General features: G+C 41.6%; 1 protein-coding gene across 17 annotated transcripts in view; it reads right to left on the reverse strand.

The window, feature by feature from the left end:
- Positions 1-15,384, reverse strand: part of TASP1 (taspase 1) — a 534,161-nt gene that overhangs the window by 270,684 nt on the left and 248,093 nt on the right. For 14 of the 17 annotated variants that reach the window (NR_136629.2, NR_136628.2, NR_136630.2 and 11 more), the window contains one exon: positions 13,939-14,997. The exons of the other annotated variants lie outside the window; for them this stretch is intronic. Coding sequence is in view for 10 of the 14 variants with exons in the window: in NM_001323602.2 (NP_001310531.1) it covers positions 14,905-14,997 (93 nt within the window). In the remaining 4 variants the exon portion in view is untranslated. Of the gene's footprint in view, positions 1-13,938; positions 14,998-15,384 lie in introns of those variants that run through there. 17 annotated transcript variants of the gene reach the window in all.

The following is a 15,384-nucleotide window of genomic DNA, read 5'->3' on the forward strand; positions in this document are numbered from 1 at the left end:
GCCACATTTTCTTTATCCAGTCTATCATTGATGGGCATCTGAGTTGGTTCCAAGTCTTTGCTGTTGTGAATAGTGCTGCAATAAACATATGTGTGCATATGTCTTTATAGTAGAATAATTTATAATCCTTTGGGTATATACCCAGTAATTAGATTGCTGAGTCAAATGGTATTTCTGGTTCTAGATCCTTGAGGAATCACCACACTGTATTCCACAATGTTTGAACTAATTTACACTCCAACCAACAGTGTAAAAGCGTTCCTAATTCTCCACATTTTCTCCAGCATCTGTTGTTTCCTGACTTCTTAATGATTGCCATTCTAACTGGCATGAGACAGTATCTCATTGTGGTTTTGATTTGCATTTCTCTAGTAACTAGTGATGATGAATTTTTCATGTTTGCTGGCTGCATAAATGTCTTCTTTTAAGAAGTGTCTGTTCATATCCTTCACCCACTTTTTGATGGGGTTGTTTTTTTTTTGTAAATTTGTTTAAGTTCCTTGTAGATTCTGGATATTAGCCCTTTGTCAGATGGGTAGATTGAAAAAATTTTCTCCCATTCTGTAGGTTGCCTGTTCACTCTGATGATCATTTATTTTGCTGCGCAAAAGCTCTTTAGTTTAATTAGATCCCATTTGTCAATTTTGGCTTTTGTTGTCTTTGCTTTTGGTGTTTTCATCATGAACTCTTTGCCCATGCCTGTGTCCTGAATAGTATTGCCTAGGTTTTCTTCTAGGGTTTTTATGGTTTTAGGTCTTATGTTTAAGTGTATAATCCATCTTGAGTTAATTTTTTATAAGGTGTAAGGAAGGGGTCCAGTTTCAGTTTTCTGTATATGACCAGCCAGTTTTCCCAACACCATTTATTAAATAGGGAATCCTTTCCCCATTGCTTGTTTTTGTCAGGTTTGTCAAAGATCAGATGGTTGTAGATGTGTGGCATTATTTCTGAGGCCTCTGTTCTGTTCCATTGGTCTATATATCTGTTTTGGTACCAGTACCATGCTGTTTTGGCTACTGTAGCCTTGTAGTATAGTTTGAAGTCAGGAAGCGTGATGCCTCCAGCTTTGTTCTTTTTGCTTATGATTGTCTTGGCTATATGGGCTCTTTTTCTGGTTCCATATGAAATTTAAAATAGTTTTTTTTCTAATTCTGTGAATAAAGTCAATGGTAGCTTGATGGGGATAGCATAGAATCTATAAATTACTTTGGGCAGTATGACCATTTTCACAATTTTGATTCTTCCTATCCATGAGCATGGAATGTTTTTCCATTTGTTTGTGTCCTCTCTTATTTCCTTGAGCAGTGGCTTGTAGTTTTCCTTGAAGAGGTCCTTCACAACCCTTGTAAGTTGTATTTCTATGTATTTTATTCTCTTTGTAGCAGTTGTGAATGGGAGTTCACTCATGATTTGGCTGTTTGCTTATTATTGGTGTATAGGAATGCTTGTGATTTTTGCACATTGGTTTTGTATCCTGAGACTTTGCAGAAGTTGCTTATCAGCTTAAGGAGATTTTGGGCTGAGACAATGGGGTTTTCTAAATATACAATCATGTCATCTGCAAACAGAGATTATTTGACTTCCTCTCTTCCTATTTGAATACCCTTTATTTCTTTCTCTTGTCTGATTGCCCTGGCCAGAACTTCCAACCCTGTGTTGAAAAGGAGTGGTGAGAGCGGGCATGCTTGTCTTGTGCCAGTTTTCAGGGAATGTGTCCAGCTATTGCCCATCCAATATGATATTGGCTGTGGGTTTGCCATAAATAGCTCTTATTATTTTGAGATACATTCCATCGATACCTAGTTTATTGAGGGTTTTTAGCACGAAGGGCTGTTGAATTTTGTCAAAGGCCTTTTCTGCATCTGTTGAGACAATCATGTGGTTTTTGCCATTGGTTCTGTTTATGTGATGGATTACGTTTATTGATTTGTGTATGTTGAATCAGCCTTGCATCCCAGGAATGAACCCAACTTGATCATGGTGGATAACCTTTTTGATATGCTGCTGGATTCGGTTTGCCAGTATTTTATTGAGGATTTTTGCATCAGTGTTCATCAGGGATATTGGACTGAAATTTTCTTTTTTTGTGGTGTCTCCACCAGGTTTTGGTATCAGGATGATGCTGGCCTCATAAAATGAGTTAGGGAGGATTCCCTCTTTTTCTATTGTTTGGAATAGTTTCAGAAGGAATGGTACCAGCTCTTTTTTATATCTCTGGTAGAATTCAGCTGTGAATCCATCTGGTCCTAGGTTTTTTTTGGTTGGTAGGCTATTAATTACTGCCTCAATTTCAGAACTTGTTATTGGCCTATTCAGGGATTTGACTTCTTCCTGGTGTAGTCTTGGGAGGGTGTATATGTCCAGGAATTTATTCATTTCTTCTAGATTTGCTAGTTTATTTGCATAGAGGTGTTTATAGTATTCTCTGATGGTAGTTTGTATTTCTGTGGGATCAGTGATGATATCCCCTTTATCATTTTTTATTGTGTCTATTTGATTCTTCTCTCTTTTCTTCTTTATTATTCTGGCTAGCAGTCTATATATTTTGTTAATTTTTTCAAATAACCCGCTCCTGGATTCATTGATTTTTTTGAAGGATTTTTCGTGTCTCTATCTCCTTCAGTTCTACTCTGATCTTAGTTATTTCTTTTCTTCTGCTAACTTTGAATTTGTTTGCTGTTGCTTCTCTAGTTCTTTTAATGGTGACATTAGGGTGTCGATTTTAGATCTTTCCTGCTTTTTCCTGTGGGCATTTAGTGCTATAAATTTCCCTCTTAACACTGCTTTAACTGTGTCCCAGAGATTCTGTTACATTGTGTCTTTGTTCTTATTGGTTTCAAAGAACTTATTTATTACTGCCTTAATTTTGTTATTTACCCAGTAGTCATTCAGGAGCAGGTTGTTCAGCTTCCATGTAGTTGTGCAGTTTTGAGTGAGTTTCTTAATCCTGAGTTCTAATTTGATTGTACTGTGGTCTGAGAGACTGTTTGTTATGATTTCCATTGTTTTGCATTTGCTGAGGAGTGTTTTACTTCCAATTATGTGGTCAATTTTAAAATAAGTGTGATGTGATGTTGCGAAGATTGTCTATTCTGTTGATTTGGGGTGGAGAGTTCTATAAATGTCTATTAGGTCTGCTTGGTCCAGAGCTGAGTTCGAGTCCTGAATATCCTTGTTAATTTTCTGTCTCGTTGATCTGTCTGATATTGACAGTGGGGTGTTAAAGTCTCCCACTATTATTCTGTGGGAGTCTAAGTCTCTTTGTAGGTCTCTAGAACTTACTTTATGAATCTGGGTGCTCCTGTATTGTGTGCATATATATTTAGGATAGTTAGCTCTTCTTGTTGCATTGATCCCTTTACCATTATGTAATGCCTTTCTTTGTCTTTTTTGATCTTTGTTGGTTTAAAGTCTATTTTATCAAATACTAAGATTGCCACCCCTGCTTTATTTTTGCTTTCAGTTTGCTTGGTAAATATTCCTCCATCCCTTTATTTTGAGCCTATGTGTGTCTTTGCATGTGAGATGGGTCTCCTGAATACAGCACACTGATAGGTCTTGACTCTTTATCCAATTTGCCTCTCCGTGTCTTTTAATTGGGGCATTTAGCCCATTTACATTTAAGGTTAATATTGTTATATGTTAATTTGATCCTGTCATCATGATGATAGCTGGTTATTTTGCCCATTAGTTGATGCAGTTTCTTCATAGGGTCAATGGTCTTTACAATTTGATATGTTTTTGCAGTGGCTGGTATTGGTTTTACCTTTCCATATTTAGTGCTTGCTTCAGGAGCTCTTGTAAGGCAGGCCTGGTGGTGACAAAATCTCTCAGCATTTGCTTGTCTGTAAAGGATTTTATTTCTCTTTTGCTTATGAAGCTTAGTTTGGCTGGATATGAAATTCTGGGTTGAAAATTCTTTTCTTTAAGAATGTTGAATATTGGCCCCCATTCTCTTCTGGCTTATAGGGTTTCTGCAGAGAGATCCACTGTTAGTCTGATGGGCTTCTCTTTGTGGGTAACCCGACATTTCTCTCTGGCTACCCTTAATATTTTTTCCTTCATTTCAACCTTGGTAAATCTGACAAACATGCGTCTCGTGGTTCCTCTTCTCAAGGAGTATCTTTGTGGTGTTCTCTATATTTCCTACATTTGAATGTTGGCCTGTCTTGGTGGGTTGGGGAAGTTCTCCTGGATGATATCCTGAAGAGCGTTTTCCAACTTGGTTCCATTCTCCCTGTCACTTCCAGGTACACCAATCAAACATAGGTTTGGTCTTTTCACATAGTCTCATATTTCTTGGAGGCTTTGTTTGTTCCTTTTCATTCTTTTTTCTCTAATCTTGTCTTCACATTTTATTTAAGTTGATCTTCAAACTCTGATATCCTTTCTTCCATTTGATCGATTTGGCTGTTGACACTTGTGTATGCTTCACAAAGTTCTTGTGCTGGGTTTTTCAGCTCCATCCGGTCATTTATGTTCTTCTCTAGACTGGTTATTCTAGTTAGCACTCCTCTAATCTTTTTTCAAGGTTCTTAGCTTCCTATCATTGGGTTAGAACATGCTCCTTTAGCTTGGAGGAGTTTGTTATTACCCACCTTCTGAAGCCTATTTCTGTCAATTCATCAAACTCATTCTCCATCCAGTTTTGTTCCCTTGCTGGTAAGGAGTTGTGATCCTTGGGAGGAGAAGAGGCATTCTGGTTTTTGGAATTTTCAGCCTTTTTGTGCTGGTTTTTCCTCATCTTTGTGGATTTATCTACCTTTGGTCTTTGATGTTGGTGACCTTCACATGGAGTTTTTGTGTGGGCGTCCTTTTTGTTGGTGTTAATGCTATTCCTTTTTGTTTGTTAGTTTTCCTTCTAACAGTCAGGCCTCTCTGCTGCAGGTCTGCTGGAGTTTGCTGGAGGTCCACTCCAGACCCTGTTTGCCTGGGTATCACCAGCAGAGGCTGCAGAACAGCAAAGACTACAGCCTGTTCCTTCCTCTGGAAGCTTCGTCCCAGAGGGGCACCCGCCAGATGCCAGCTGGAGCTCTCCTGTATGAGGTGTCTGTCAACCCCTGCTTGGTGGTGTCTCCCAGTCAGGAGGCATGGAGGCCAGGGATCCACTTGAGGAGGCAGTCTGTCCCTTAGCAGAGCTCAAGCACTGTGCTGGGGGATCCACTGTTCTCTTCAGAGCTGGCAGGCAGGAACATTTAAGTCTCCTGAAGCTGCGCCCACAGCTGCCCCTTCTCCCAGGTGCTCTGTCCCAGGGAGATGGGAGTTTTATCTATAAGCCCCTGACTGGGGCTGCTGCCTTTCTTTCAGAGATGCCCTGCCCAGAGAGGAGGAATCTAGAGAGGCAGTTTGGCTACAGCAGCTTTGCAGAGCTGCGGTGGACCCTGCCCAGTTCAAACTTCCTGGTGGCTTTGTTTACACTGTGAGGGGAAAACCGCCTACTCAAGCCTCAGCAATGGCGGACGCCCCTCCCCCCTCCAAGCTCAAGCATCCCAGGTCGACTTCAGACTGCTGTGCTGGCAGTGAGAATTTCAAACCAGTGGTCTTAGCTTGCTGGGCTCCATGGGGGTGGGATCTGCCGAGCTAGACCACTTGGCTCCCTGGCTTCAGCCCCCTTTCCAGGGGAGTGAACGGTTCTGTCTCGCTGGCATTCCAGGCACCACTGGGGTGTGGAAAAAAACTCCTGCAGCTAGCTCGGTGTCTGCCCAAACAGCCGCCCAGTTTTGTGCTTGAAACTCAGGGCCCTGGTGGTATAGGCACCCAAGGGAATCTCCTGGTCTGTGGGTTGCGAAGACTGTGGGAAAAGCATAGTATCTGAGCCAGAATGCACCATCCCTCACGGCACAGGTCCTCACAGCTTCCCTTGGCTAGGGAAGGGAGTTCTCCAACCCTTTGCACTTCCCAGGTGAGGCTACGTGCCACCCTGCTTCTAACCCTTCATGGGCCATGCCCACTGTCTAACCAGTCCCAATGAGATAAGCCAGGTACCTCAGATGGAAATGCAGAAATCACTTCCCTTCTGCATTGATCTCACTGGGAGCTGCAGACTGGAGCTGTTCCTATTTGGCCATCTTGAGAAGTCTGTTAAGGATAGTTTTAAGGTTTATTCTGATGCCACAGGACTCTTCTTAGATTCCTCTTTTTTGCTTCTTTTTGGTGAACTAGCTAGGGTATTGTTTAGCTTGTTGTTCTTAGTACCAGGAGCACCCTTATGCTTGCACTTCTCCACACTCTGTTTTAGATAAATTCAGTTTCTTTGGAGAGGGCATCAGTGCTCTTTTCTTATAGTCTGCCTCTCCCTCAGCAAACTCTCTAAGCCATTATTCTGGGTGCTGGGCAGGGCGGTAGCCTCTGGTCTTCTTTGTTTGCCCATCCCAGAATGAAATATCTGATTTATACATGATTTGCGGGGCAAGGGTGATTGGGACCTCAGTTTTCTTGGGAAAAGAAACTTCTTTCCTGGGGTTGAGTCTCTGTCTATGAATAAGTGATGGCTATAGGAAAGTAGCCTCCAGCCTCTCAGATGTGCACACCAGGATCCAGCCTCTTCAACTTGGAGTTGGAGGGGATGAGAAATGCCGGCAGCCTGCTCCTCCTGGTGAGATAGAGTAGGACTTGGTTGGGAGCTGAAAGGAGAGGCAGCCCCAGTCTTCTTGGCCACACTCAACCAGAGTGAATCTTCTATCAGTATGAGCTGGAAGTTGGGGGGCAGGGAGTGGGTCATGGCCCAAATGCCACAAACTAGCTGTTTTTAGCCAGTTTCAGTAAATTTTTCTTGAAAACATATTCTTAATTTGTTTTATGCTCTTAGAACATTTTCCAAATACTCTGGGAAGTTGGAGTCTGTGGAGCTTCTCGTGCTGTCATCCCAGAAGTAGAACATCCCCAAACTATCTTCTAAAGGTTTGTTTTGGCCAGGTGCGGTGGCTCACACCTGTAATCCTAGCACTTTGGGAGGCCAAGGTGGGAGGATTGCTTAAGCCTAGGAGTTCAAGACCAAGCTGGGCAACATGGCAAGACCCTGTCTCTACAAAATATAAAAAATTATCTGGGTATCATGGTGTACACCTGTAGTCCCAGCTAGTTGGGAGGCTGATGTGGGAGGATTGCTTGAGCCTGGGAAGTTGAGGCTGTGGTGAGCCATGATCGTGCCACTGTGCTCCAGCCTGGGCAACAGAGGGAGACCTTGTCTCAAAAATTAATAAATAACTGTGTTTTGTCTTTTATATTTAGATTTACAGTTTATCTGTAATTTATTTCTGTGTATGGCATGAGATATAATTCACATTTTTTTCACTTGTGTATCTACTTGCTCCAGGAACATTTAAAAATACACTTTCCCTACTGCTTTGCTATGCCATAATTGTTGAAAATTAAGTGTCCATATATTTGTGGAAAGTGAAACGTGACAGAAAAATAAAGCAAAAAAGGAATGCAAAATGCTGGAGGGGGTGTGGTTAGGAGCTTGCTCAGGGACGACCTTGCCAAGAAGGTAACATTCCAGCAGAGCTGAAGGAGATGAGGGAAGAGCAAGCCATGTGAAGCCATCTGGAAAGTGCTTTCCAAGCAGGGGGTACAAGCATGTGCAATGCTTCTGAGATGGGAGGGTGTGTGGGCTGCTCAAAGAACAGCAAGGAGGCCAGAGAAATAGTATGGGGTCGGAGAACAAGAAGGAGCAGATCCCAGGGCCTTGTAGGAACTCTGGGACAAGGTGTACTGGAAGGTTTTGAGCAGACAGGTGCCATGATCTTACTCCTTTTGGCTGCCAGTGCACAGGTGACTGTCAGGACAAGAGTGGAAGCAGGGAGACCAGTGCAGAACCTATTGTAATAACTCAGGCAAAAGACAATCTGATTGTAGCAGTGGAGGTGGTAAGGAGCAGTTAGATTCAGCCTACACTTTAAAGGAAAGCCAACAGGATTTGTGAATGGATTGGTTGTAGAATCACAGAAGGAAAGTAAAAATTCAAGGATGTCAGGTGGTGGCCCTCAGTGAATCTAGCCTCTGCTACAAATGCCCTTAGGCTGTCCCTCCCTCTTGAATCTGGGCTGAACCAGGTGATTTAATATAAGCAATAAATGTGGCAAAAGTGATGCTGGGCCATTATGGACCTAAACCTGTAGAAGGCCTGGTAGTTTCTGCTTTTGTGCTCCTGGGAAGCTTGACCTGCCGTGTCTTTTTGGCATGTGGTGTGGAAAGATGCTGTAGAGAGGCTCTGAGCCTGCATGGAGTAAGAAGGACACTCAGCCATCCAGCATCCCAGCTCGGCCTATCTCCTAGCTCACCTTCCAGCTAAATGCAGCACACTAGTGACTAGCAGCAAGAGCAGCAGAAAAACCACTGAGTTACGTTAAGCTCAATTTACAGAATTGTGGGCAAATAAAACAGTTGTTGTTTAAGCCATTAAGGCTTGGGGTGATTTGTTATTCAGCCATAGAACATGAAACAGATGACCCCCAGAGTTTTGGCCTGAGTGCACAGAAGGATGGAGCTACCATTTACCAGGTGGGAAAGACTGCTAGTTAACAGGTTTGGGGGAAGAACCTGGGTGGAAAGATTAAAATCTTACTACTTGTACATGGAAAAGAACACATGTTTTTCTTAATATATTGGAAGATATCCTCTACCTCTTAAGCATTACTGGATTTTCCAAGGCCAGGAAAGATCATTTTAGGAGTAACTCTTTGGATCTCCATCATAATAGCGACAGTAAAGGTTAAAGGAATTGTTTTGAATTTTTTTCTTTTAGGCTTCTGACACTCTGTTGACAAAGAAATCCCCATGGCAATTCAAGGCAAAGAAACTCCCACCCACAAAGTTTTTCTGCATTGCCACTTGTGGTTTCAGGGCTTCAGTAACTGCACCATGTAAAGGAGAAACCACTGGACTCACTTTCTCTCCCAGCTTTCCACAACTGGTCATAATGAACCACCTTGGGCTTGGCTGATGGTCTTCTGGAAGCTGAGTGTGCCGCCTTGGAGGGAAGCCCTTGCCAGTTTTAGATTTAATCCTTCCTGTGGCCAAACACTTTAGAGACAGAAGCATGGGGGAAAAAAAAAAGATTGCCTGGTCAATTTGGTCAGCCTGTGAGTTTCTGATCATAGACATCTGGCTAATACCTTGCGGACTTGAATGCAAATTAAGTGCTGGGGAGGGGTGGTGTGTTCCTTAAGAATTCTTAAGGCCCCAGAACAAATATTAATGTGATATTATTAACTTTATGTTTCCAACCTCCCATTCACTCCCCCTATAGCCCACTACATTTACCTACTCATACTTCCTTCCCCTGGTTAATCGGCTTCTGGGAAAGGTTTAGAATACAACTAAATGAAAACAACTTAATCATACACATTAATCATATACACAGGGATTCATTGCTGCTGGGCTCAGCCTTGTCTTGGGCCAGCGTTCCTGGGAGGGGGAGTGGCTTCCACCTCTGTTCCCTCTGAAGGTCACCAGCCACTGCAACCTTAAGGTGAACAGGAAGACTGGGTTTTGCGGGCAGAGGGGACTCCCAGTGTTGAGCGTTTATAGGATTTATGTCAGAACAATGCTGATGTGCCTTAAACATTTAGTTTTAAGAAAAATTTTGGAAGACATTAAGAAAAATTTACCATGAAATTATGTTATGAACAGCCAGACTTGAGAGATGCCCTTTTGGAAATGGGTGTTGTGTGAGGCCCCCATGGCATGCACGTCGTGAAAATGTGTTCGTGACACAGGACACTGTTCTGGCCTCTGCAAATTTCTTAAAGTCATGAAACGCCTTTAGCTAAAGCTTCTTCCAACTACCGTTAACACCATTCCAGGTCATTTCCTTGAAGGCATCCACCAGTCCTTGATGAACTGTTGCTCTTCAGCTTCTGTTTACTTCACCATATCCTTAAAAGTGTTTGTCTGTCTCCAGCAGTCTGGTGCCTGTTAACACTGACTTAGTTGCGAACTTCACAAACTTTTGTGGCATATCCAGCCTTATCACTCGGAGAATGTCCCTCCGATGTTACGGATGAAAATGGCTGAGCAGGTGCACATGTCAGGAGGAGAGCCCCAGTGAGGGGCATAAGCAGACTGGTGAGTCCACCCTCAGTGGAGGGCCTAAAAACCCTAGTGGCCAAGAATACATGTGGAGTGGAATGTGTTTCAGTGTGAAGTCCTCCAGAAGCAACCCTGAGATAAGGAGTTGACTCCAAGTAGTTCATCTGGGAGATGATTTCAGTAAACACAGGTAGGAGAGTCAAGAAGGAACCAGAAAAGGGGAGAAAGCCAACACAAGGTGTACTAAGTCAACTACCAGAGGGGGAAACTGAAGCTTAATTCCTGTAGGAACTCTCTCAAAAACTGCGAAACACATATTCGGTATTATCGCACCCAAGTAGCAAAGGAGCTAGCCAATTTATACACCAACTTCTAGGGAGTGCTGATTCCCTGGCACTTGTGGCCTACAGCACCCAGAGACAGAATAGCTTTCCATCGTTCTGGAAAAAGCCTGTCAAAGTTGTGTGGGGGATACTAAAACAGTGAGGTTCAAGAGCAATGACCATGGCCTGCTCTAGGATGCCTTCCAGGCTGGCTTTCATTGGCTGAGACCTTACCACAGTGCTTGTTGTATGCACCTGCAGCCTGAAAATATGGATATCAGCTATTCTGCTCAGCATTGTCATAGATTTCCCCAGAAGTTTAAGGAACAAATATATGTACTGGGCATCATTAGGCTGAGCCAGCATTGTATGGGAAAGCAGTAAATGAGGGATTGTGTAAACCTATAGGTCTGGTCATCTTTTTGTGATATTATTAAATGAAAACTGCAGGCTATAGAACCCCATTTTGGGAGTTCAATATAGCACCATTTTTTGTGTTAAAAACACACAGAAAATTCATGCATAAAGAGTCTGTAGGGTGTTTATTAAGGGTTGCCTCTAGGGAAGTAGGATTATGAGCTAAATTTTTATTTAAAATTTACATTTTTAAAATTTTCCTTATCTATTTTCTAATTTTTTTCCTAATAAGCAGACTACCTTTGTAATAAAAATGGCCAAATCAAAAAATAAAAGATCCCACAATTATTAATACAATCTCAAGATTCAAGAATGATGCTCTTTTCTAAATCTTCTCTTCTTCATTCCCTCCCTTCCTTCTTCCCTCCTTCCATCCAGTGTCAAAACAGAGTGACCTCACTTGTCTGCAGGTCACTGGTATGCAATATTACCACTCTCAAATGTGGGAGAAAACTGGAAATTATGCAAAAAAGGCTTTTGAGTAGCCCCGAGAGATGTCCTCATACCCGTAAACCAAAATTCATTCACTTTGCTCACAGACAAGCCCCTCAGACTAGCATCTAGGACTTATTTATACATACTTTGTAAAAAAAATTCTAACATATTGATATCCAAATTCAATTTCACATTAATTTTCTGTCTTTCCAACTTCTATTTTAGGTTCAGGGGGTACGTGTGCAGGTTTGTTACATGGGTAGAATGTTGTGGGGGTTTGGTTTACGGATAATTGTATCACCCAGTTAATCAGCATAGGACCCGATAGGTGGTTTTTCAATTCTTACCTTCCTCTCACCCTCCACTCTCAAGTAGGTCTTGGTATCGATTGTTCCCTTCTTTGTGTCCGTGTGAACTCAGTGTTTAGCTCCCACTTATAATTGAGAACATGCATTATTTGATTTTCTGCTTAGGATAATGGCCTCCAGTTCCATTCATGTTGCCAGAGAGGACATGATTTCATTTTTTTTTTTTTTTTTTTTTTTTTTGAGATGGAGTTTCACTCTCGTCACCTAGGCTGGAGTGCAATGGCGTGATCTCGGCTCACTGCAACCTCCGCCTCCCTGGTTCAAGTGATTCTCTTGCCTCAGCCTCCCAATTAGTTGGGATTACAGGCACCCACCACCACGCCCAGCTTAATTTTTGTATTTTTTAGTAGAGATGGGGTTTCACCATGTTGGCCAGGCCAACTCCTGACCTCAGGTGATCCACCCACCTTGGTCTCCCAAAGTGCTGGGATTACAGGTGTGAGCCAATGTGCCTGGCTGATTTCATTCTTTTTTATGGCTGCATAGTATTCCATGGTGTATATGTACCACATTTTCTTTATCTAGTTCACTGCTGATGGGCATCTAGGTTGATTCCATGTCTTTGCTATTGTGAATAGTGCTGCAGTAAACATATGCATGCATGTGTCTTTACAGTAGAATGCCTTGTATTTCTTTAGGTATATACCTAGTAATGGGATTATTGGGTTGAATGGTAGTTCCATTTTAAGTTCTTTGAGAAATCTCCAGGCTGCTTTCCACAGTGGCTGACGTAATTTACATTGCCACCAGCAGAGTATAATTGTTTTCCTTTCTCCACATCAAGTTCACATTTAGACATGGTAATTAGAAGGTAAGAAAGGGCCTGCCATAGGCAGACATACTGAAGGCAGAGAAAACAGTGGCAGAGCTGACAAGACAGTCCAATCAGCACAGGCACTCCAGGTGCCTTAAGCAAAATCACATGCTCTTGTCTCCTCACCAAGCCCTGAAGATGCCCCTGTTTCCAAATCCAGAGCTAGGTCACAGTGACCACCTTGAGGAATCCAGACCAGGCTTAATTCTACTCAAGAGAACCAGATATCCAACACTCAGACCTTACAAAGAAATCAAATATAGGCACACAGTTAAAAGCATCCATGTTAAAAGTGGGCACCTTAAAATACAGCTTCAGATTCTTGGTGATATAAGCCAGATTAGAGAATGAGGTTATTTTCTCATCTGTTTCTACTTTTTCTACTTTAGTGTGAAATGAAGTTGATTTTACATCTCTCAGTATTCTCTGGTTCCAGTAGCTGATCTTTAATATCCGATCTGATAAGGAAGGAACTTATATTACCTGTTACATTTTTGCCTCCATGATTCTGAATATCACTATGTTCCCCCTCTTGGCTTCACAATATTCCTTAAAAAAAAAATGTAGAAAATTGAAGAGTAAAGTCTTGACAAACTGTTCTTGGAGACGCTGTGCTCTTTTATACTGGCCAGTTTTTGAACTCTTAATAAAAGGGGTCCTTAACAAGCTCAAATGTTTAAATATAAATGGAAAAAGGGCAAAAGGAGATGAAAGAAGTGGCATTCCTGGTGAAACTGGTCAGACGATTTTCAGACTCCAAAGTGTCCTGATAGTTTTATGTGATCCAATCCAGTTCCTGAAAAATCTCTGCCAACAGGTAACAGGTCTTCAAAAGCTTTTGAAGCCAAAGGCTCCCCACCAGCCAGCCCATCTCTCACTAAGTTCTCAGCCTCATTAAGAATGAGAAACAGATACCACGGCACCAACCTGTCTATGAGAGCACAGCAAGACAAATGTAATTGCCTGTACCAGGAATACAAATCAGCAACTCTCAAATTATTCATATTTACACCCACTATATTTTGGTTGTCTTTCCTTTATAATTTGGCCATACATTGATGTCAAGTGTATAATTTTATCTGGGATTTATCAGTTACCGCCCAGAGCCATGATTACATGGTGCAGGGCACTTCCTCCCCCTGAGCAAGTCTATCTTTAGTATCTTCTTGATAACCACTTCTTACATAAAAAAAAAAGAAAAAATCAAAAGGAAAATCTTGGTTTTCTTATGTGGCTCCAGAATCCCTGAATATAACACTTAGAAGTAATTTATCAACTGAAACTATCGAGCTTTTAGCTGCCACTACAATTTTTCAAAGCAAAGTGTTCTTATTCTTTCTCTTTGTTATTTTTATCAAATTGCAAGAGAAATTTTAGGGACTTCCATATTGAGCATTCAATCATGTACTAAGTTCAACTTGCATCTTGCCAGTGTCTTCTTTAACTGCGTAACACTGGCCTTGGAACAATCAGAACAACAGCAAGATGGATAATGGTATGATTTCTGGGAGAACATTTTATAAACAAAATAAATAATAGCTCTCTAACCAAGGATTCAAAAGATAATTTATTAGTCTGAGAAGAGGAGTCACATACTATACCCAGTAATACGCTTCTTTTATTTTTGTGCCTTTATCTTAAAAATATATTTAAACAAAAACAAAGATAATATTGAATTTTCCCATAAACTTTGCTTTCTTATTTACAGTGTTATATTGTAAATAACTTTCCATTATACACAAATTAAGGACTGTGCATTACTGTATGTTCTCTTTACATATTCTTTCATAATATAGTCCATACAGCTCGAAGCTATGCAATATTTAAGCTTAGAAAAGCTTGATGAAATAAGTACAAACTGTATCAATCAGACTATTATTTAAAAAGGTTCTGACATTAATTCTCTGCTAGATTGTTTCACTGAAACCATTCTTTGTTAAAGAAAAATGCCCCATATAAGGGATGAGAACAACAGTTTAAGTTACCACAGGATCCACTTAAACTGGTTAACAAATAAAAACACTTTATTACTTATTACTGTTATTAAATGGAGCACTACCACTGTCAAGTCATTTAAACAAGTAGATTTACTCTTCAGTTCTGACATATCACATCAGCGACAGTTGGTACCTCTTTACGAAATAAAAAATGTTTCCTGCAACTTTAGGTTTTACTTGTAAACAGTTAAAGCACACATTTTGTAAAGATGATTTAACCATTCCTGGTCACACAATGAGGAGTTTCTATTTCATCCACGGAGAAGCAAACACACATACTCCACACATACACATATGTGCGCACATACGCGCACACACTCACACACAGTCCCGCTCACCCACCAAAGGCCCGCGTGTCACTAAGCGCTAACTACAGCAGCACTTGTGTCTCGAGCAGTGCACGAGGTTGCAATAGGAATTATAAAACAAGAAAGATAAAACAACCAACTTCAGTTAAAAACCCCCAAAAGCTCAGGTTCTGAAATGCCTCTGAGACGCTTCACACTCAGCCTGAAGGGTCAGTTCACTGGGCTCTCCAGGCGGCACACCCCACCTTCGATTGCCACAGACTGTCCTGCCACCGCACCAGGAGGAAGTCTTGAAATGTGAGTCTGCAGAGAGAGAGAGACAGCAGAGCATCAGAGGGGTCAGCGGTGTCCCTTGCCACACCCCTACCCGTGTCCAAAAAAGGTGGAGGAAACACCAGAGCATTAGGCCTTCATTTTGCTTCTGAGCATCCACAGACTGTACCACTGGTAAACTTTAGTTACTGAAAGATCGTTTGTTCAAATCGCTCAGGAAATATTTACTGAGCATCTGCTACATGCCAAGCACAGCACTAGCAACTTGAGATACAGAGGTGACCAAGTTAGCCAAGACCCCTGACCGCACAGAATGTATAGTTTAATTATATTCACAAGAGTAGCAGTTTTAATGCCAGCTCTATTGAGTATAGTCATTATGTGAAAACTAGTAATTTGTATATGTTTTGTCTTCTA

This window comes from Homo sapiens, chromosome 20 (assembly GCF_000001405.40).
Source record: "Homo sapiens chromosome 20, GRCh38.p14 Primary Assembly".
In the NCBI taxonomy this organism is placed as follows: Eukaryota; Metazoa; Chordata; class Mammalia; order Primates; family Hominidae; genus Homo; species Homo sapiens.